Source organism: Homo sapiens, chromosome 3, assembly GCF_000001405.40.
Source record: "Homo sapiens chromosome 3, GRCh38.p14 Primary Assembly".
Classification (NCBI taxonomy): Eukaryota; Metazoa; Chordata; class Mammalia; order Primates; family Hominidae; genus Homo; species Homo sapiens.
The window spans coordinates 47,292,515-47,315,641 of NC_000003.12; the positions used below are offsets into that span (position 1 = coordinate 47,292,515).

At 42.4% G+C, this 23,127-nt stretch overlaps 1 protein-coding gene across 8 annotated transcripts in view, besides 1 other annotated feature; it reads left to right on the forward strand.

Annotated features, from left to right (window-relative positions):
• The window catches only part of KLHL18 (kelch like family member 18), a 63,873-nt gene that overhangs the window by 9,571 nt on the left and 31,175 nt on the right, over positions 1-23,127 (forward strand). The window contains exon 1 of one of the 8 annotated variants that reach the window (XM_047447816.1): positions 728-5,158. The exons of 6 other annotated variants lie outside the window; for them this stretch is intronic. The gene's annotated coding sequence lies outside the window, so the exon portion shown is untranslated. Of the gene's footprint in view, positions 1-727; positions 5,159-12,844; positions 14,437-23,127 lie in introns of those variants that run through there. One more of the 8 variants, XM_047447817.1, reaches the window with a different exon arrangement.
• Positions 7,211-7,260: a silencer, noted in NCBI's record as "silent region_14308". NCBI's record gives its function as "represses an Ori minimal core promoter by ATAC-STARR-seq in GM12878 lymphoblastoid cells {active_cell/tissue: GM12878}" and the evidence as "EXISTENCE:reporter gene assay evidence [ECO:0000049][PMID:35858748]".

Consider the following 23,127-nt stretch of genomic DNA (forward strand, 5'->3'; position numbering starts at 1 on the left):
TAGATACTTGTACACCAATGTTCACAGCAGCATTATTCACAATAGCCAAAAGGTGGAAGCAACCCAAGGGTCTACCACTGGGTGAATGGATAAACAAAATATGGTATATGGCTGGACACAGTGGCTGATGCCTATAATCCCAGCACTTTGGGAGGCCAAGGCAGGCAGATGGCATGAACCCAGGAGTTTGAGACCAGCCTGGGCCACATGTCAAAACCTTGTCTTTACAAAAAATACAAAAATTAGCCAGGCGTGGTGGTATGCACTTGTAGTTCCAGCTACTTGGGAGGCTGAGGTGCGAGAATCACCTGAGCCCCGGGAGGTCAAGGCTGCAGTGAGCCATGATTATACCACTGCACTTCAGCCTGGGCAACAGCGAGACCCTGTCTCAAAAAAAAAAAAAAAAAAAGTATATACATACAGTGAAATATTACTCAGCCTTTAAAAAGAAGAAAATTCTGCTGCAACATGGGTGAACCTTGAAGACATTACACTAAGTGAAATAAGCCAGTTACAAAAGGACAAATGTTGTGTGATTCCACTTATATGAACTACCTAGAATAGTCAAATTCATGAAGACAGAAAGTGGAATGATGGTTGCCAGGGGCCGGGAGGAGGGGGAATGGAGAGTTACTGTTTAATGGGTATAGTTTCAGTTTGGGAAGATGAAGAATTCTGGAGACAGATAGTGGTGATGGTTGTAGAATGTACTTAATGCCACAGAACTGTACACTTGAACATGGTTAAAATGGTAAACTGTATGTTATTTATATTTAATCCAATTTTCAAAAGATAATTAGCTCAAGAAGACTTGTTACCAGGTGGGCAAGAGAGATTGCTTATAGTGCTTTGTGACTGTAGACACTAAAAACAATTTGTCTTTCTATTGAAACCCAATGATTAGAAACATCTGATGCTAAGGAGTAATCTTTCCTACTCTTTATTTTTGTACTTGGTGCCTCAGCTGTTAAGAGTCAAATTGTATTAGTTCAGCCCTGTAGCTGCACTTCAAATGGTCACTTAAAAGGAATTGCCTTCTAAGAGGTACATATTTAGGAGATGCAGATGTGTTGTGAGCTTATTTTTCTTGGGTTGGTTTGTAAGCTGTAAATGTCGTGTAACCTTGACAGAGCTATTTTGAGGACCAGCAAAACAAGCCGTGCTAACATGTCTTCCAAGTAAAGGTGTGTTGGCATCATCTGCAAATTACAAATAGCTTTCAAACCTATAATTCTACCCCATTTGTCCTGTGGGTCCTCATACTCATTATGTCTAAAGTGAACACCCTTGCCCATCTTTTGTTTCCTCTGTGTTAGGGGGGCACACAATCCATCTAGTCGTGCACAGTTGAAACTCTGGGATTGTCTTTGGCTCATCCTCTCTTATGTGTATTTTGTGACACTTATTACAATAGTAATTACATAACTATTTATAGTGTTGTAACTCCACAAGAGCAGGGCTGTGACTGAATTATTTACTGAGGTATCTACATAATAGCTGCTCAGTAAACCACTGTCCTAATTGAGATCCTCTTCATCTTTTACCTAACCCAGGATTTCTTTAACTTTACTAGCATGTTGAGAGAATTCTTACCGACCTTCTAGTGAATGAGCCTACTAACAGATTGTTTTTCTAGGGAAAAACAGATTTCATTGTAGGGAATGAGCTACTAACAGATTGTTTTTCCCCAGGCTTAATTCTGATCTTATTCTGCTCTGAGTGGCTTCTCATTTCGTTTTCATTCAGCAGGGTGCTCAGCAGGTATGTCAGCACCTTCCATGTGCCAAGTACTGTTCTAGGTGCTGAGGGTGCAGCAGTGAGCAGAGTAGGCCAAGCCTTTTTGAGTATGAGCTTACATCCTAGTGGAGTAGCAGACAATAAACAGATGGAAGATGTCCAGTGGTGACCAGTGCCATGAAGAAAAGTAAAGCAGGAGCCAGCCTCTCTTAATAGAGATCTAAATGAAGTGAGGGAGCAATCCATGAGGATATCTGAAGGCAGAGGGAACAGTAAGCACGGAGCCCTGAGGCAGGAGCACACTTGGTGTTTTGGGGAAACAGCAAGAAGCCAGAATGATAAGGGCAGAGTGACCAAGGAGAAAAGTGGAAGGACACGAGGTCAGAGAAGTAGCCACCCAGCCCAGCACAGTTCCTTGCATGTGTATGGTATGGCTCAGTAAATACGTTGTGAATGAATGAATGAAACCAATCAATAATTATGTATTTATGAATAAAAAATCAGGGCAGGGTGTTAGAGGTATACCTAAGGTAATAGAAAGTTAGGATGCATATTCCATGGTTCATGAAGACAGCACTGCGTTTTGCTTGCACTTTCCCCTTCGGTTTAGGAGAGATGATGATAATGGCCGGAGCCAGAAGACTAATTCTGACTTGTTCTTGAAGGAAATTCTGTTCTGCACACAGTGACAATCAGAGGTTAGAAACTTGTCAGCGGAGCCGTGAGTCGAGCAGAGCTGCTCAGCTCTTGGTGGTTGTAAAACGTGCCTCTACCTCATGTTTGAGAAAGCTTGTGTTTTCCGTGTATATGGCTTAGCATTTTAAGTAATCACGATATCTGAGGGGTAATGGGAATGCAGGAGCAGCAGGTGGTGGCTAGTTTTCTGTAGGATTTAGGAAAGGACTGCTGATTTAACTGAATCTCTGATTATTCTAAGCTGCTCATAGAAATCCACCAGTCACTGCTGTCTCAGACGTCAGAGGGAGAAGCTTAAGCATGTTCTGTTGTTGACAGCCATTCTGGTTGACTTCTCTAAGACTGCCAGCTGTATTCTTGATATTCAGAGTCCTGCAGATGTGGCCCCTCTCTGCTATTCTACCCTGCTTTCCCACAGTGTCCTCTTGCATCAGCTGGCCATCTCTCCATGACTGTGTTCCCCCTCCTCTGGGCCTTTGCTCTAGTGTTCCTTTGGCTTGGAGTATCTGCTCACATCTGCCAAGCAGAGCCGTATCCATGCTTCAAGCTTTCTTCCATATTTTCTTCCTTTGCTTTCTTTCCTTTTTCTTTCTTCCCTTGCTTTCCCTTTCCCTTTCTCTTTCTCCTCTTTTCTTTTTTCTTTCTTCAGGGTCTTGCTCTTGCCCAGGCTGGTGCAGTGGTGCAATCATAGTTCATTGTAACCTCGAATTCCTGGGCTCAAGTGATCTTCCCACCTCAGCTTTCTGAGTAGCTGGAACTACAGGTGTGTTGCCACCACACTCAGTTAATTTAAAAAAAAATTTTTTTTTTTTGGTAGATACAGGGTCTTGCTTTGTTGCCCAGGCTGGTCTCGAACTCCTGGCCTCAGGCAATCCTCCCACCTCGGCCTCACAAAGTGCTGTGTAGCCACTGTGCCCGGCCCCTTCAAAGTTTTCTTTTCTCAAAGGGACCCATGCCCTCTTTCTTGTGCTCTGTCCTATCACAGTGGGGGGTTGTGTGAAGTCCCATCTCTCTGAAGACAGTCTTCTCATATCCCTCCAGGTGTAGTTCATCTCCCCCTCTTCCACTGCACCTTAACCCCTCATTACTTAGTGTTGTCATTGGACTAATAGCGTCAGCATCACCTGGGTGGGGGCCTGTTCGAAGTGCAGAATTTCAGGTCCCGCCCCAGACCTACTGAACTAGAATCTGGTGCTTCTTACATCCTGTGCACATTAAAGTTTGAGAAGCATTGCCGCCACACATTGGTCCTACTCCCCTTACTGGTCTGAGCAGGATGTAGATGGTTCGAGTGTTTTTGTTCCCCTCTAGATGTTGAACTCCTGAATCGTGAGCCATCTCTTACCTAGTATAGTTCTTAGCATGTTTCAAGCACTTAAAAGTATTTACTGAATTACCTTAACTAACCCCTGACCTTATGTTTGAGATGCTTCTTCAGTCAACATACTATATAAGTGCATTTACCTGTGCTTGGTGCTTGTAGGTGCATGAGACACCCTGCTGTGAATGGGAGTCAGCCTCTGTCTTTGGCATTTATAGATGAGTGGGGAAGATAGATTATGCATCAATTATTAATAATTATGAGAAAAGGCAGAGTCTGATAAATTCTGTAACTGCATAGGCATCACCAGAGGCCTAAGGGAACATCAAAGGAGTAGCTGATATTTACAGTTCTGAGGGTTTGTGACTGTTGCATGGAAAGGATGGTATTTAGTTGGTACATTGCAAGATGAATAGGACTTTGACAGACAGGCACAGTGGAAAGAGGCATTCCAGGCCAGGGGAGAGTGTTCAGAGGCCCAGGCATGAAAGTACACCTACAGTGTTTCTTAAATAAGTAAGACATAGAGGAGCAAGGTGGAAGGTGGGATTGGAGAGGTCGATTGAGTACAGACTGTGTACTCCTTAAATTTTCATGGTGAGGAGTCTAGACTGCTAAGAAACACCTGCAAATCAGTTGAAGTTGGTATAGTTACATGTTCAGTGGTTCCTGAGGACTCTGCCCACTTCTCTCCCTTCCTCTGCTCCCATTCTACCTTGCTGGATCTGAGTAGTAGGAAGTGGGGGGAGGGTTTAGAAGAAGTGGGAAGCAGCCTGAATGTTTTAGCCAGCTGTTCATATGGGACTGGAGCCCCAAGTCCTTTTTTAGTGTCAGCTGGTCAGCTACTTCCTTCCTCACCCCCTTCCTGTGTCACTACCCAGTGGGGCACTCTAAAGCAGAGAGACCAAAACTCCATCACAGAGTGTTCAAAGAGTGTGCTCTAAAATGCTATCGAAAACTGCAGACTGAGCCCAGTATGTTTTATTATACTTGCCATCAGTTTCTTAACCCCAAGAGTTTATGAGGACTCATCATTTCTGCTTGTGGTAGTACTATATGAACCTGTGTCTCTCTGTCCGTATTCTAGGCTGGCAGTCAGGCCATCAGCATTGAAGGTGAAAGAATCCCCCTGACTTCCATTTCCTTATATGCCATCTTGTTAGAAACCCACAAAGTAGCTAGTGTGGTCTGTTTATTTCTTCAGGACTGGGAATGCACTGTTACCCTGGGAGTCAGGCCCTCCACAAATTGACCCTAAGCCTCACCATCTTTTTCTTGAGCTTTTTACTTCAGCCAACTGAATTTTCAGATGAGATGAGAAGGTCATGCTTTTCCACCTTTGAGCTCCCACTTTGACCAGCTCTGCCAGTCCTGAGCCAGAAGGTCAACAGTTAAAAAGAAGAGGTAAAATTCATCAGAAATTTTGTTACTTGTTTGTATCTCAGATGAAGCCTATTTTTAGATGAAATAGGCTTTAGAATTCATTAAGTACAACTGAGTATGAGGCACTGTGTTAAGTACTAGGATATAACCTTCCTTTCTTTGGGAAGAATATTCAGCCTGGATGGAGAGACATTCATTAGGGACAATATAATGTGTGCTGTAGTGGACGCTTGTACCAAGTGCCACAGAAAGGAGAGAGCTGACTGCCTGGAAGTCAGAGGCCCCTCAGAGGAGGGAACATTTCAGCTTAATCTTCAAGGATGAGGAATAATTCACTGGGCAGAAAAATGAGGGGATAAGAATCCAACCTGAGGGAACAAGACAATTTCTGGGAATTGCCAACAGTTTTTAGAAGAGAGTCATGGTGGGGGATAAAACTGGATGGGGGCCAGGTGCAGCGGCTCACACCTATAATCCCAGCACTTTGGGAGGCTGATGCAGAAGGAAGCCTTAAATCCAGGAGTTCAAGACCAGCCTGGACAACAAAGTGAGACCCCATCTCTACCAAAAATAAAAAAATTGGCCAGGTACCTATAGTCCCGGCTACTTGGGAGGATCACTTAAGCCCAGGAGTTAGAGGCTGCGGTGAGCTATGATTGTGTCACTACACTCCAGCCTGGGCAAGAGTGAGATCCTGTCTCTAAAAAAAAAAAAAAAAAAAGAGAAAAAAACCTGTTTAGGGTTTGGATCTGACTTGTAGGCAGTAGGGAGCCCCCTAAAATGGGGACTGACATGACCAGACTCAATTATATGTTGAGTTGACTCATTCAAAAACATCATTTATTCGACAAATACTGAATATTAATTTCTGACTATTCCAGGAAACATGAAACATGAAGATTGCCCCCTTGGTGCAGCCCATGTTTTAGTAAGGATTAGATAAGTTAGTTATATCAGGCCACCACCATTTGCTCTTGTCAAGGTTACTAATGACCTCCACAATACAGAGCTAGTTCATAACCACACAGATCTCCATGTGCCACCTTTTATAGTCACATCCAGCCCCCTCCCACCCACCATCTCTAATCTCTGGCAACCATGAATTTGTTGTCTCTCATTTTGAAACTGTTATATAAATGAAATCGTAGAGTTCGTGACCTTTTTTCACCCAGCCTAATGCCCATGAGGTCCATCCAAGTTATTGTGTGTATTGATCATTTTTTCCTTTATATTTCTCAGTAGTAGTCCATGATATGATTGTACCATAATTTGTCTAACCATTTCCAACCATCGAAGGACATTTTTCAGTTTTTAGGTATTATGAATAAAGCTGCTATGGATATTCATGTACAGGATTTTGAGTGAACTTGTTTCCATTTCTCTGTAGTAAATGCCCAAGAGTAGAATTTTATGTCATACAGTTTGTGTATTTCAATTTTAGAAGAAATTGTCAAACTATTTTCCAGAGTAGCGATATCATTTTGCATTCCCATTGGCATATATAAGTGTGGTGGTTAATTTTATGTGTCACCTTGGCTAGGCCCAGTTGTTTGGTCAAACACCAGTCTAGATGTTGCTGTGAAGATATTTTTTAGATGTGATTAACATTTAAATTAGTAGACTTTAGTTGAGTACAGTGGTATGTGCCTGTAATCCCAGCTACCTGGGAAGCTGAGGCGGGAGGATTGCTTGAGCCCAGGAGTCTGAAACCAACTTGGGCAACATAGTGAGACCCCATCTCATTTTAAAATAATAATAAGTTAGTAGACTTTCAGTAAAGTTGATTACCTTCCATAATGTGGGTGGGCCTCATCCAGTCAGTGTAAGGCCTTAAAGAGCAGAAATTGAGCTTTCCCCTGAAGAAGCAGTTCTTCCTCAAGATTGCAAAATAGGCTGGGCGCAGTGGCTCACTCCTATGATCTTACCTCACTTTGGGAGGCTGAGGTAAGAGGATTGCTTGAGCCCAGGAGTTTGAGACCAGCACAGGCAACATAGTGAGACGCTGTCTCCACAAGAAATAGAAAAATTAGCCAGATGTTGTGGCACATGCCTGTAGTTGCAGCTACTCAGAAGACTGAGGCAGGAGGATTGATTGAGCCTGGGAGGTCCAGGGTGCAGTGAGCCGTGATTGCACCACTGCACTCCAGCCTGCGTGACAGAGTGATACTGTGTCTCAAAAAAAAAAAAAAAAAAAAAAAAAAAAAGATTGCAAGATAAAAACCCTACCTAAGTTTCCTGCCTGCTCACCTGCCCTGCAGATTTCTGACTCAAGACTGTAACATCAAACCTTATCTGAATCTCCAGCCTGCTAGCCACACTGTATATTTTGGATTTGCTAGCCTCCGCAATTGCATGAGCCAATTCCTTAAAATAAAAATAAGTTTCTCTGTCTCTCCCCGCCATACCTCCTCCCTCTCTCTTTCTCACTCCCTGTCCTCTTTCCCTTCTCCATTCCCTTCTTCCCTCCCGCTGTCTTCCCCTTTTCCCTTCTCTCCCCCTCTCCACTCTTATCCCTCACCTTCTCTCTCTCCCCACCTCCTTCTTTTCCTCCTTCCTACTTTCTTCCCCATTCTATTTCTCGGGAAAACCCTGACTAATATGGGTGACCCAATTCTTTTGCATCCTCACCGGCATTTTATATATATATATATATATATATGTGTGTATATATGTATATGTATATACGTGTGTATGTGTATATATGTGTGTACATATGTATATGTGTGTATATATATGTGTATATGTGTGTGTGTGTGTGTATATATATATATTTAAATTCTCTTTATTTTTATTTTTTAGTAGAGATGGGTTTTGCCACGTTGCCCAAGCTGGTCTTGAACTCCTGGGCTCAAGACCAGCTGGGATTAGAAGCATGAACCACCATGTTACAGGCATGAACCACCACACCCAGCCTAGCATTTTATATGATCACTGTTTTTTATTTTAGCCATTCTGTTAAATGAGTAGTGGTATCTCATTGTGATTCTTTTTTTTTTTTTTTTTTTGAGACAGAGTTTTACTCTTGTTGCCCAGGCTGGGGTGCAATGGTGCGATCTCAGCTCACTGCAACCTCCGCCTCCCAGGTTCAAGTGATTCTCCAGCCTCAGCCTCCCAGGTAGCTAGGATTCTAGGATGCGCCACTATGCCTGGCTAATTTTTGTATTTTTAGTAGAGACAGGGTTTCGCCATGTTGGTCAGGCTGGTCTCGAACTCCTGACCTCAGGTGATCCGCCCACCTTGGCTTCCCAAAGTGCTGGGATTACAGTCATTGAGTCACCACGCCCGGCCTCACTGGGATTCTAATTTGCATTTTGCTAATGGGTAATGATGTTGGACATCTTCTTATGTGTTTATTTGCCATCTGTATATCCTTTTTAATGAAATATCTTTTCATGTCTTTTGCCCATTTTCTCATTGGATTGTTTTTTGTTTTTTTATTGTTGAGTTTTTAGAGTTCTTTACATATTATAGATACAGATAGATCTTTGTCAGGTATGTAGTTTGCAGATATATTTTTTAGTATGTAGATTGTCTTTTAATTCTAACTGGTTCTTTCACAGAGCAAAAGTTTTTCGTTGTGATTTAGTCCAATTTTTTTTTTAATGGTTTGTGCTTTTGGTCTCATGTCTGAGAACTTCTCACCAAACCCCAAGTCCTGAATATTTTCTGCTATATTTTATTCTAAAAGTTTTATAGTTTTAAGTTTTATATTTAAATCTTTGGTCCATTCTGAGTTAAGTTTTGCCTCCAGTGTGAGGTATAGGTTGAAGTTCTTTTTTTTTGCATATGGATATCCAGTTGTTCCAGCCCCATTGATAGTTGAAGAAACTCTTTTCTCCATCTAAATGCTTTTGTACCTTTGTCAGTAAGCAGCTAGCCATTCTTGTGTGAGGTTACCTCTGGGTTCTCTATTCTGTTCTATTGTTCTTTGTTCCTGTCCCTTCACCAATATGACACAGTCTTACTGTAGCTATGTAGTTGACCCTTGAACAATGTGGGGGTTGGAATGTTGACCCCCTGCCCCCATTCAGAAATCAAAGTGCAACTTTTGACTTCCCAAAAACATAATTACTAATAGCCTACTGTTGACTAGAAGGAAACCTTACAGATAACATAAACAGTCAATTAACTTTGTTTTGTTTTGTTTCTTCTTCTTCTTTTTGAGATAGGATGTTGCTCTGTCATCCAGGCTGGAGTGCAGTGGCATGATCATAGCTCACTGCAGCTTCGACCTCCCAGGCTCAAGCAATTCTCTCACCTCAGCCTCCCGAGCAGTTGGGACCACAGGTGCACACTACCACTACCATGCCCAGCTAACTTTTTTATTTTTTGTAGAGACGGGATCTTGCCATGATGCCCAGGCTAGTCTTGAACTCCTGGCCTCAAGCAATCCTTCTGCCTAGCCCCCTAAAGCAGTGGGATTACAGGCGTGAACCTTTGTGCTCAGCTTATTAACACATATTTTGTATGTTATGTGTATTATGTTATGTGTTATACTGTATTCTTACGATAAAGGAAATTAGAGAAAATAAAATGTTGTTTAAAAACTCAATGGCTGGGCATGGTAGCTCACGCTTGTAATCCCAGCACTTTGGGAGGCTGAGGTGGGCAGATCATGAGGTCAAGAGATCAAGACCATTCTGGCCAACATGGCGAAACCCTGTCTCTACTAAAAATACAAAAATTAGCTGGGTGTGGTGGCGTGCACCTGTAGTCCCAGCTACTCAGGAGCCTGAGGTGGGAGAATTGCTTAAACCCAGGAGGCGGAGGTTGCAGTGAGCCAAGATCGCGCCACTGCACTCCAGCATGGCAACAGAGCGAGACTCTGTCTCAAACAAACAAACAAAAAGAAACATAAGGAAGAGAAAATATATTTACTATTCATTAAGTGGAAGTGGATCATCATAAAGGCCTTCATCACCATCATCATCTTCACATTGAGTAGTCTGGGAGGAGGAAGAGAAGGGTTGGTCTTGCTGTCCCTGGTGGCAGAGGCGGAAGAAAATTTGTGTACAAGTGGACCTACACAGTTCAAGCCGGTGTCGTTCAAGGATCAACTGTACATTGTCATTTCTATCTGACTTTTTGCTTTTTCGTTTCTCCAAACATTTTTCTATATGGTACCAATTCTTTTCCACCATTTGTTTTAGTTTCAGTGCCCGTATCATAGAAGAGTCCATGTCATAAAAGAAACCATGAATAATTGAAACTCTTTTGCCAAGTTGTCTAATGTCAATTTGTTTTCTGGCACTGCTTCTTGAATGTCTTCCTTGTTGTCCAGCACTGGTTTGGGAGCTCTCATCTCTATCAAGTTGTCTTCTATTAATTCCTCAGGTATAGTATCAATTAGCTGTTTAATTTCTCAAAGATCTATATCTTGAAACTCTTCACCCCTCACCTTTTTGCCATATTCATGATCTCTTCCATGACTGGCTATGTCATAAATCCCGTGACGTCATGTACAACAGCTGAACAGCTTTCTCCAGCAGGAACTTACTGTTTCAGTCTTGATGGCTTTCACAGCTTTTTCTATAACAATGATGGCATCTTCCATGGTATAATCCTTCCAGGCTTTTATGATGTTCTCTCTACTAGGGTTCTCTTCCATAGCATTGGCAATCCTTTCCATACAGTACTGTGTATAATGAGCTTTAAAGGTCCTGTGACACCCTGATTTAGAGGCTGAGTTAGAGACATTGTGTTTGGGGGCAGGTAGACCACTTTGATGCCTTCATAGGTGAATTCTTGGGGTTCCAGATGGCCAGGGGCATTGTCCAATACCAAAGAACTTTAAAAGACCATCCCTTACTGGCAAGGTACTTCCTGACTTCAGTGACAAAACTTCAAAGGAACCAATCCAGAAAAAGTTTTCATCATCCTTATCTTCTTGTACAACCAAAAGACTGGCAGCTGGTGTCATCCTTTCCGTTCAAGGCTCAGGGCTTAGCAGCTTTATAGGCAAGCTCTCGTTCTGTCACCTAGGCTGGCTTCAAACTGCAGGGCTCAAGCAATTCTCCTGTCTTGGCCTCCTGTCTTGGGATTATAGGCATTAGCCACTGTGCCTGACCAGAATTTCATTCCCTTTTTAAATTGATTTTATTTGTTTTATTATCATCATTTTTTGAGACATGGCCTCTCTGTCACCTAGGCTGGAGTGCAGTAGCATGATCATAGCTCACTGCAACCTCAAACTCCCAAGTAGCTGGGACTACAGGCACATGCCACTATGCCCAACTAATTTTTAATTTTTTTTTTTTACAGAGATGAGCTCTATCCTATGTTGCTCGGGCTGGTCTCGAACTGCTAGCCTGAAGTGATTCTCCCACCTCAGCCTCCCAAAGTTCAACTTTTATTTTTTTAGAGCAGTTTTAGTTTCACAGCAAAATTGAGTGAAAGCTACAGAGATTTTCCTTATATCCCCTATCTCTACATACACACATACAGTGGCTAACAATGTTGAACATCTTTTCATGTGCTTGTTGGCCATTTGCACTTTATTCTTCTCATTCAAAATTGTTTTAGCTATTCAAGTTCCTTTGTCTTTCATATAAATTTTAGAATAATATCATCTATAGCTATAAAAACAATCTTGCTGGTAATCCCAGCACTTTGGGAGGCCAAGGTGGGAGGATCAGTTGAGGCCAAGAATTCGAGATTAGCCTGGGCAACATAGCAAAACTCCGTGTCTCCAAAATAAAAAATTAGCTGGGTATGGTGGTGCGCATCTTGTAGTCCTAGCTACTCGGGAGCCTGAGGTAGGAGGATTGCATGAGCCCAGGAGTTTGAGGCTATAGTGAGCTACGATTATGCCACTGCACTCTAGCCTGGGCAACAGAGCAAGACACACAAGTCCTGTACATTGGTTTGTTAGATTTACACATAAGTATTTAATTTTTTTAGTGATTGTAAATGTAATTTTATTTTAAATTTTGGTTTCCAAGTGTTACTTGCTGGTACATGGAAAACACAACTGATTTTTGTATGTTGATCTTGTGTCTTGTAACTTTGCTGAACTCGCTTATTATTTCTAGGGTTATTTGTTTTTTTGCAAACTGCTTTGGATTTTCTACATAAACCATAAATAATGTCAGGCCAGGCGCTGTGGCTCACACTTGTAATCCCAACACTTTGGGAGGCCAAGGCGGGTGGATCACTTGAGCTCACAAGTCCAAGACCAGCATGGGCAACATAGTGAAATCCCATCTCCACAAAAAATACAAAAATTAGCTGGGTGTGGTGGTGCCCACCTGTAGTCCCAACTACTTGGGAGGCTGAGGTGGGAGGATGGTGTGAGCCCAGGAGGTGGAGGTTGTAGTGAACTAAGATTGGATCACTGCACTCTTAACTTGGGTGACAGAGGGAGATCCTGTTTCAAAAAAAAAAAAAGAAAGAAAAAAACCCATAATGTCATCAGCAAATAGGGATAGTTTATTTCTTATTTTCTGATTTGTATTCCTTTTATTTCATTTTGTTGCCTTACTGAGCTTGCTAGAACTTCCAAGAGTGTGCTAAATAGCAGTGGTAAGAGTCTTGCCTTGTTCAGCATCTTAGGGGTGAGCGTTCAGTGTTTTACTAGAATACTAGAAGTTTTTTGTAGATGTTCTTTGTCAAGTTGAGGAAGTTCCCCTCAATTCCTAGTGTTCTGAGAATTTTTATTATGGATGAGTGCTGAATTTTGTCAAGTTTTTTTTTTTTTTTTTTTTTTTGCATGGAGAGGGTTGTGTCACTTCTTTTTTCTTGAGTCTATTAATATACTGGATTACATAGATTTATTTTCAAATATTAAGTCTGCCTTAACCCGGATAAACCCTATTTGGTTATGGTATATAATTATTTTTATATATTGCTGAATTCTGTTTGCTGATATTTTGTTAAGGATTTTTGCATATATATTCATGAGGGATATTGGTCTGTACTTTTCTTGTTTTATACTGTCTGTCTAGTTTTGGTACTAGGGTAATACTGCATAAAATGAACTTGGAGTTATCCCTTAATCTTCTGTTTTCTGGAAGAGATTGTTTAAAATTGGTATTAATTCTATTTTAAACATTTGGTAGAATTCTCTGGTGAAACCATCTGGACCTGGTAGATTTCTTTTTCAAGCATTTTAAAATTACAGATTTAGTTTTCTTGTTAATTATAAGGCTTTTCAATTATTCCCCCATCTTGGGTAAGTTGTCATTTTCAAGAAATTGGTCAATTTCATCAGTTGTCAAATTTATGTGTAGAGTTGTTCATAGTATTCTCCTGTTATCATTTTTATGATTGCGGGGTCTGTAGTATTATCGACTGTTTCATTCCTGTATTGGTGATTTGTCTTTTCTGTCTTTGTCAATTTTATCAATATTTTCAAAGAAGCATCTTTTTGTTTCATTAGTTTACTGTTTTCCTGTTTTTAATTTCATTGATTTCTGCTCCTTTTAATTTCCTTCCTTCTGCTTGCTTTGAGTTTATTTTTTCTCTAGTTCCTTGGAGAGGTAGTTTGGGTTATTCACTTGAGACTTTTCTAATGTAAGCATTTAGTGTCATAATCTCACCACTGCTTTAGATATGTTGTATTTTCACTTTCATTCATTCAATGTATTTTTAAATTTCCGTTCCTTTTTTAGAGACTCCTCTTTGACCTACAGACTATTTCGAAGCATGTTGGACCTTTGATGGATTCATGGGTTTATTTTCCTAATTTACAGATATTATTTTCTATGTATCAAATATTGCATAATGCAAATATCATTGTAAGAGAGGAAACATTTTTGACATGGTCAGATTCCTGCCCTTGGGGATTTTACATTGTGTTGTGTGTAGCTTTTAATTCATTCATTTTCACTGATGAATAATGTTCCATTATATGAATATCAGAAATTAGGATTCTCCTCTCAGTGGTTATTTAGGTGGTTTTTTATTTTGTTTAGTTTTCTGCTTTTCTGAATAGTGATGTAAACATTTTATTACATATTTTCTGGAGCGTATGCATCTAAGGTATATAGCTAGGAGTTAAATTGCTAGGTCATTGAGTATGTGCGTGTTCAACTTTTCATGATCATGTTAGTATTGGCATTATTTTTCAAAGTGGAAATTGTGTAAATTTACATACATTCTAGCAGTGCTTAAGAGCTCTTCTGTCCATCCACATCATCATCAGCTTTGGGTATTATTGGACTTCCTAATTGGACTTCTCCTGGATGTGAAATTATATCTCATTGTGATGCTAGCATTCCCCTGATTATTACTGAGATTGATCATCTTTTCCTTTGTTTTAGACCATTCTGTTTCATTATCTATGAAATACCTAGTTTTAGGTAAGTCTTAAGCTCACTTTTTTTTTCTCAAATTATGATTCGTTGATTTATTGGAGTTCTTTATGTACTCTGGATACTAATTATTTGTTGGTTTTATGTTTGCAAATATCTTTTCTCACTTGTAACTTGTCTTTTTTTCGAGATGGAGTCTTGCTCCGTCACCCAGGCTGGAGTGCAGTGGCAAGATCCTGGCTCACTGCAACGTTCGCCTCCCGGGTTCAAGCGATTCTCCTGCTTCAGCCTCCCAAGTAGCTGGGATTACAGGTGCATGCCACCACACGTGGCTAATTTTTTATATTTTTGGTAGAGATGGGGTTTCAGCATGTTGGCCAGGCTGGTCTTGATCTCCTGACCTCAAGTGATCTGCCCACCTCAGCCTCCCAAAGTGCTCGGATTACAGGCGTGAGCCACCACACCTGGCCTGGACAGAAGTTCTTAATTTTACTGTAGTCAGATATTGAAGTCTTCTCTCTTAAGGTTAATGCTTTTTGAATTATTGTTTAAGAAATCCTAATCTCAAGGTCAAAAAGACCTACAATATTTTCTTCCAAAATTTTGAAGTTTTGCCTTTAATGCTTAAGATTTTTCTTCTTTTTTTTTTTTTGTATTTTATAAAAAAAATAGAGACAAGGTCTTGCCATGTTGCCCATGCCAATCCCAAACTCCTGGGCTCAGGCAGTCCTCCCACCTCGGCCTCCCAAAGTGTTGGGATTGTAGGCGTGAGCCACTGCACCTGGCCATTAAGGCTTTTTTCTATCTGGAATTGATTTTGGAGTGTGATGTGAAGCAGAAATTCAATTTGATTTTTTTTCCATGTGGATAACTAGTTGTCCCAACACCATTTTTTAAGTGGACTCTCTTTTCCATATTATCTGCAATGCCATTTCTGTCATTTATCAAGTTTACATATATATGGGATGTATTTCTGACTGCTTATTCTGTTCATTTGGTCGGTTTGTTTCAGTACCACAATTTCCTAATTTCTATTGCTTTATAGGTGTTGACATCTGATAGGGCAGTTCTGCCTACCTTATTCTTTTAAATTTTTGGGGGGGATTAATTTATCCCTACTGCTTCTCCATTTTATAGACTTATTCTTACCCACCAGCTTCATGGCCTTTATGATTCAAATATGTGCATCAATAAAAGTATGGATTACTACTTATCATGCACTTTCAGCATCCTTTGTGACTGTGTTAAAGCTTAGTCTTAACCCCACTGATCCCAAGGGCATTCTTTCCATGCAGTCTGGGCACTTAACTGTTCTTTTTTTTTTTTCCTGGGTGCAGGCATTTATTTTTTTAAAAATTTTAGATTTTTAGGGGGTACACGTGCAAGTTTGTTACATAGGCATATTGTGTGATGCTGAGGTTTGGGTTTCCATTGAACCTGTCACCCAAATAGTGTACAGAGAACCCAATATGTCGTCAATATGTAGTTTTTCTTTTCTTTTCTTTTGAGACAGAGTCTTGTTCTGTCCCCCAGGCTGGAGTGCAATGGCACGATCTTGGCTCACTGCAATCTCCACCTCCCAGGTTCAAGTGATTGTCCTGCCTCAGCCTCCCAAGTAGCTGGGACTACAGGTGCATGCCACCACACCTGGCTAATTTTTGTATTTTTAGTAGAGACGGGGTTTCACCATGTTGGCCAGGCTGGTCTTGAACTCCTGACCTCAGGTGATCCGCCCGCCTTGGCCTCGCAAAGTGCTGGGATTATAGGCGTAAGCCACTGTGCCCGGCCAATATGTCATTTTTCAACCCTTATCTCCCTCCTTCCTTCCCTCCCTCCCTCCTCTCATCGTCCTCAGTGTCTATTGTTGCCATCTTTTTTTTTTTTTTAATTGATCATTCTTGGGTGTTTCTCGCAGAGGGGGATTTGGCAGGGTCACAGGACAACAGTGGAGGGAAGGTCAGCAGACAAACAAGTGAACAAAGGTCTCTGGTTTTTCTAGGCAGAGGACCCTGGGGCCTTCCGCAGTGTTTGTATCCCTGGGTACTTGAGATTAGGGAGTGGTGATGACTCTTAAGGAGCATGCTGCCTTCAAGCATCTGTTTAACAAAGCACATCTTGCACCACCCTTAATCCATTTAACCCTGAGTGGACACAGCACATATTTCAGAGAGCACCGGGTTGGGGGTAAGCTCATAGATCAACAGCATCCCGAGGCAGAAGAATTTTTCTTAGTACAGAACAAAATGGAGTCTCCTATGTCTACTTCTTTCTACACAGACACAGCAACAATCTGATTTCTCTATCTTTTCCCCACATTTCCCCCTTTTCTATTCGACAAAACCGCCATCGTCATCATGGCCCGTTCTCAATGAGCTGTTGGGTACACCTCCCAGACGGGGCGGCGGCCGGGCAGAGGGGCTCCTCACTTCCCAGAAGGGGCAGCTGCCGGGCGGAGGGGCTCCTCACTTCTCAGACGGGGCGGCCGGGCAGAGATGCTCCTCACCTTCCAGATGGGGTCGCGGCCGGGCAGAGGCGCTCCTCACATCCCAGACGGGGCGGCAGGGCAGAGGCGCTCCCCACAGCTCAGACGAGAGATGCTCCTCACTTCCCAGACTGGGCAGCCGGGCAGAGGGGCTCCTCACGTCCCAGATGATGGGCAGCCAGGCAGAGACGCTCCTCACTTCCCAGACGGGTTGGCGGCCGGGCAGAGGCTGCAATCTCGGCACTTTGGGAGGCCAAGGCAGGCGGCTGGGAGGTGGAGGTTGTAGCTAGCCGAGATCACGCCACTGCACTCCAGCCTGGGCAACATTGAGCACTGAGTGAACGAGACTCCATCTGCAATCCCGGCACCTCGGGAGGCCGAGGCTGGCGGATCACTCGCGGTTAGGAGCTGGAGACCAGCCCGGCCAACACAGCGAAACCCCGTCTCCACCAAAAAAATAACGAAAACCAGTCAGGCGTGGCAGCGCGCGCCTGCACTGGGCAGGCTGAGGCAGGAGAATCAGGCAGGGAGGTTGCAGTGAGCAGAGATGGCGGAGTACAGTCCAGCTTCGGCTCGGCATCAGAGGGAGACCGTGGGGAGAGGGAGGGGGAGGGGGAGGGGGAGGTTAACTGTTCTTAATGCCTTATGTATATTCATTGTGAGCTCCTGAAGGTAGGAACAGTAGTATCAAAATGTTTTCCATCAAAGAGAAATCTACTCTGGGTATATCTTTTACTTTCTTTGGGAACACCTGTCTCAGATTACTCCTAACTCAGATTTTGCCAGGCTGCTTTACTGTTTGAATGCTGAGCCCCACCTGCCTGTGGTAGGGAACAGAATTTGTGTTGAGCAGCCCTGTCTGAGGTAGCAGAGCTGGTGAGGGCCTTCTGATTCCATCCAGTCTCTATGCCACATTGCCTGTCTGGTGGACCTACACTCTTTTCTACCTCCAGACATCTTCCTGCTTCTCTTCTCATTTCCTTTCTGTGTACCTCCCTTCTGTGTCTTCTTTGCTGATAGATCCTCTACTAGGTGATCTTTAGATGTTGAAGTTCTTCAAGGCTGTCTTATAGCCTCTTTTCTTCACACTTCGAGTTCTCTCCCTGAATGATCTTTTTTCTGTCTTCACTGATTATTTCCAAAAGTGTTATTTGAGCCCAGACTTATCTCTGTATACCAGACTCTGTCATCCACTTTCTACATAGTCTCTGTTTAGATGCCTCCCAGGCACTCGGTGTCAGCTTGTCCAAAACTTTATTTGGTCATTTACTCCTGACTTTGTCCTTCTCTGTCGTTTCTGATCTAAGTATATGGCACCTCCACATGCCAGATCGCACCAGTAACCTGGAAGTCATCTTGACACCTCTTTTCCCTCACTCCCACATCTACTCAGTCACCAGGTCACAGCAGTTCTAAGGTCAGCATCTTTCCTGAGTCTGACTTCTTTTCTCCTTTCCCACTGCCACCATCCAGGCCGAGCTCAGCTCTTCTCTCTCTGGACCAGGCAGTGGTCTCATGGCTGGACTCCTAGCTGCCACTCCTGTCCCTCCAGTTCATACTCTATCTCCACAGAGTGGCCTGGTCAGCTTCGAATTTCTTCCTTAGTCCTGTTCCCTGGTTTCCTGATACTTTTTTTTTTTTTTGATCTGGAGTCTCGCTCTGTCGCCCAGGCTGGAATGCAGTGGCGCGATCTTGGCTCACTGCAAGCTCTGCCTCCTGGGTTCATGCCATTCTCCTGCCTCAGCCTCCTGAGTAGCTGGGACTACAGGCGCCCACCGCTTCGCCCGGCTAATTTTTTGTATTTTTAGTAGAGACGGGGTTTTACCATGTTAGCCAGGATGACCTCGATCTTCTGGCCTCTTGATACTTTTAAAGTAACATGTAGAATTCTTGAGTGTCCCATCTATTTAGTCAGCCTCACATCACATCACTTTGCTTTTCATAGCTGTTCTTGAATCATGGAAGCCACTGATCTCAAACATTTACCAAAGGAATAGTATGTTCATGATTTTAAAAACCAAGTATAGGCCAGGCGTGGTGGCTCACACCTGTAATCCCAGCACTTTGGGAGGCCAAGGTGGGCGGTTCATGAGGTCAGGAGATCAAGACCATTCTGGCTAACATAGTGAAACCCCGTCTCTACTAAAAATACAAAAAATTAGCCGAGCATGGTGGCAGGTGCCTGTAGTCCCAGCTACTCAGGAGACTGAGGCAGGAGAATCACTTGAACCCGAGAGGCGGAGATTGCAGTGAGCCGAGATTGCGCCACTGCACTCCAGCCTGGTGACAGAGCAAGACTCTGTCTCAAAACAAACAAACAAACAAAACAAGTATAGTAGAGTTACAACATATGAACATATAAGTTATCTGTTGACTGGTAGACCTAATCTTCTTCCCCCTTGTGTAACTCCATCACTTCTTTTAATTTACCAAACAAAGCTGTTGACAGGTGTTAAAGTTTCAGGGCCATAATAATAAAAAATAATATAGAGGCAAGCAGGAGTACTGCATTTTCAGTCTTCAGAGTGTATTATGCAGAGCCCTGCTCAGGAAGAATTCTGTATCCACTCTTTGTAGAAGCCAAGGGGCATGAATGCTGAGTCTTTGCTAGTTTTAGTGGAAGTGGTTTAGTCTTTCTCATTTGAATTGATCTTTTTTTCTTAGAAGCAAATTCGGAGGTGTTGTACATATCTAGGAAGTCCCATGATTGCCCCAAATTTGCTTCGTAGATGCTATTCATTGCAAATAATTCCACAGTGGTAGTATGGGCAGGGGCACTGTTTGTTGAATACACAAGGAGATCTCATGTCCTGATCTAGCCTCAGCAGCTTCCATGTGTATTCATGGGTATAGCTATTTTAGTGTAGAGTGTTTTGTGTATACCATAGATTCATTTCTTTTTTTCTGTCCTATCTTGGACTTTGAACCTAACTCTAATACTTTAAATCTACTGTCTGATTCCATTTCATTGATAATATTTTATAAGAAGTATATTTTTAGAGGTGGGTATGTAGCAAAATGTGACTAAAGGTAGAGATGTATGCTAAATAGCCTTAAGTTTTCTAACCAACCAGTTATGTGTTTCTTACAGATGAATTTTTTTGAAAAAATTGTGTGGCACCAGTTCACATGTCTTTGCCACCTTAGGAGTGGGGAAGAGGGGAGATTTGAGGTAATTGCAGATCAGTGGAGAAAGTGGCCTTTGCATGGGCCTGTGTAATTCTAGATATTAATTATAGGGAACCCACTTACCCTCTTATATAAGCTATAGTTTATGTTACATTTATTGGTAAGAAAATAATATTTTTATCTCCCATTCGCTTTGTGCTCCCTCCGCCCCCTGAGAGGCTAGGTTTCATTATGTTGCCCACGCTGGCCTCAAACTCCTAGTAGCTGAGATCCAAGGCATGTGCCACCATGCTTAGTTTAGTCCTTTTTTTAAATGGATGTTTTATTTTGAGATAATTGTAGAATCACATGCAGTGGTAAGATAATTCAGTGAAATCACACATACCTTTTAATTTTTTTTTTTTTTTTTTTTTTGAGATGGAGTCTCGCTCTGTCGCCCAGGCTGGAGTGCAGTGGCGCAATCTCGGCTCACTGTAGGCTCCGCCTCCCAGGTTCACGCCATTCTCCTGCCTCAGCCTCCTGAGTAGCTGGGACTACAGGCGCCTGCCACCATGCCCAGCTAATTTTTTGTATTTTTAGTAGAGACAGCGTTTCACTGTGTTAGCCAGGATGGTCTCGATCTTCCGACCTTGTGATCCGCCCGTCTCGGCCTCCCAAAGTGCTGGGATTACAGGCGTGAGCCACCGTGCCCGGCCTAATTTTTTTTTTTTTTTTTTTTAATAGAGAAAGGGTCTCACTTTGCTGCCCAGGCTGGAATGCAGTGGTGTGATTATAACTTCCTGTAACCCCCAACTCTCAGGCTCAAGCAATCCTCCTGTGTCAGCTGCCTAAGTAGCTGGGACTACAGACGCATACCACTGCACCCAGCTAATTCATTTTATTTTATTTTTTGTAAACACATGGTCTTGCCATATTGCCCAGACTGGTCTGAAACTTCTGGACCCAGGCAGTCCTCCTACCTCAGCCTCCCAAAGTGCTAGGATTACAGGCATGAACCACCATGCCCACAACTTTTTCCTTTTGCCCAGTTTCTCCCAGTGGTAATATCTTGCAAAACTATTAAGCCAGAGGAACTGAAAGTACAATATTGCAACTAGAATATTCAGTTGCAATCTTATTCAGATTTCTTCAGTTTTACTTTTATTCATTCTGTGTATATGTATATTTAATTCTATGTAGTTTTATCATGTGTAGGTTTTTTATTTATAATTTTTTTCTCAATTGACTGAGAACTCAAGCTGAGAGAAGGTATGCTATTTATTAGGTCCCTCTCCAATTCCACCAGTAACAACCTAAGCATAATTCCTTCTCTTCACATAATAGCTACCTGACATTGGGTGAGCTACTTAACTTCCAAATCTTGGTTTTCTCATCTATAGAACATGATTCACAGTAGCTGCCTACTGCAGAGGGTTGCTGTGAGGACTGAAATGAGAAAATGTGCAGAATGGGTACCTGGCATAGTCAGTGGCATACAAAAGGAGCTCAATAAATGATCATCTCTTTTTTTAAAAAATGACATTTTATTTTATTTTATTTTTCGAGACATTCTCTTGCTCTGTTGCCCAGGCTGGAGTGCAGTGACAATTATAGCTCACTGCAACCTTGAACTCCTGGACTCAAACCATCTTCCCAAGCATGCACCACCATGCCTGGCTAGTTTTTTGTAGAGATGAGGTCTTGCTGTGTTGCCCAGGCTGGTCTTAAAAATCCCTGCCTCAAGAAACCTTCCCACCTTAGCATCCCAAAGAGCTAGGATTAAAGGCATAAACCACTGTGCCCAGCAAAAAATGAGACATGTAAAAACTGAGATTACAAATGAGAGTGTTTGGGTTTTTAAAAGCTTTTCACAAAAATGTAGTATCACAGGATTGTAGAATTGGAAGGCCTCTAAGTAGTCACTTAATAGTTTTGAAACCAGTCCAGGACCCCGCTAAGTGTTCTTAGCTCTTATTCTTACGCTTATTTGTTTTTTGTCTTTTTTTTTTTCTTCCTTTTTGTGAAGAACGGAGTCTCGCTATATTGCCCATGCAGGTCTCGAACTCCTGGGCTCAAGCTATCCTCCCACCTCTGCCTCCCTGAGAGCTCGGATTACAGGCATGAGCCACCGCGCCCTGCACTTAGCTCTTATTCTTTATGATAAAAGAAAATCTGCCTTCCTGTAATTTTCTAGATCTGCCCTAATCCATGTGATAGCCCTTCTAGGATTTGACAACAACTATCAGGTTCCTCCTAAATTACCTTTTCCAGACTATCCTTTAGCTATTCCTTATAAGATGTAGCTTTCAGACTCTTGCCCATCTTGGTCTTCCTCATCTAGACAAGGTCCAATTTGTTGTTCCCCTTAGCTGAATACAGAACTCAAATGTAATCAGGCTAACATATCCCAAGATAGGCCTATCTTCTCTGTAGCTGGTTTTTTTTTGAAACCAGGTCACTCTGTTGGTGCACATACAGCTTGTTCTTTTGTCTTCTGTTTATTTTCTAGATGAAAAATAAATGCACAGCAGTTAAACACAGCCAGTTGAACACATACTTAACTTTCATTCCCCTCCATAACCCCATTAAAATAGTAGTAAGAGGGGAAAGACATATCAGCAAATGAGAAATCAATGGAATATTAAAGCCAGAGAGCATGTGTGGAAGACTTAGTGGGCCAGAGGAACTGAAAGTGCCTCCCGGGGGAGAAACTGAGAAGGAAGAGGATTTCTAGTGTAGAACCCTGGAATTGTTCCAGAATTGGAGACACCAAATACTGAAAACAGGAAGATTACTTGGAAGTCTGTATGAAAGGCAATTAGATGCCTGCACCCCCTCCCCCACTCTCTCAGGAGATAGGAAGTTTAGTCTTAGATACTGAACCAGAGGCTCCGAATCAGGCACACCAAGCATAGGAGAAAGGGTGCAATATGGAACAAAACTGAAAAGAAGGGCTTTAAGATAAGAGTTATCAGTAGTGCATGGTAGAACCATCCACCTCTTAGACCCAGTTTCCAGAATATCTGTAGGCCGACAGATATTTCCCTGCAAGAGACTGGAAGATCGTGCTCTGATAAAATTAACTCCAGAGAAAAAGTCCTGAAGATACTGAATACTTCTAGGGGTCCTCAATCAAATGGCCGATTCTT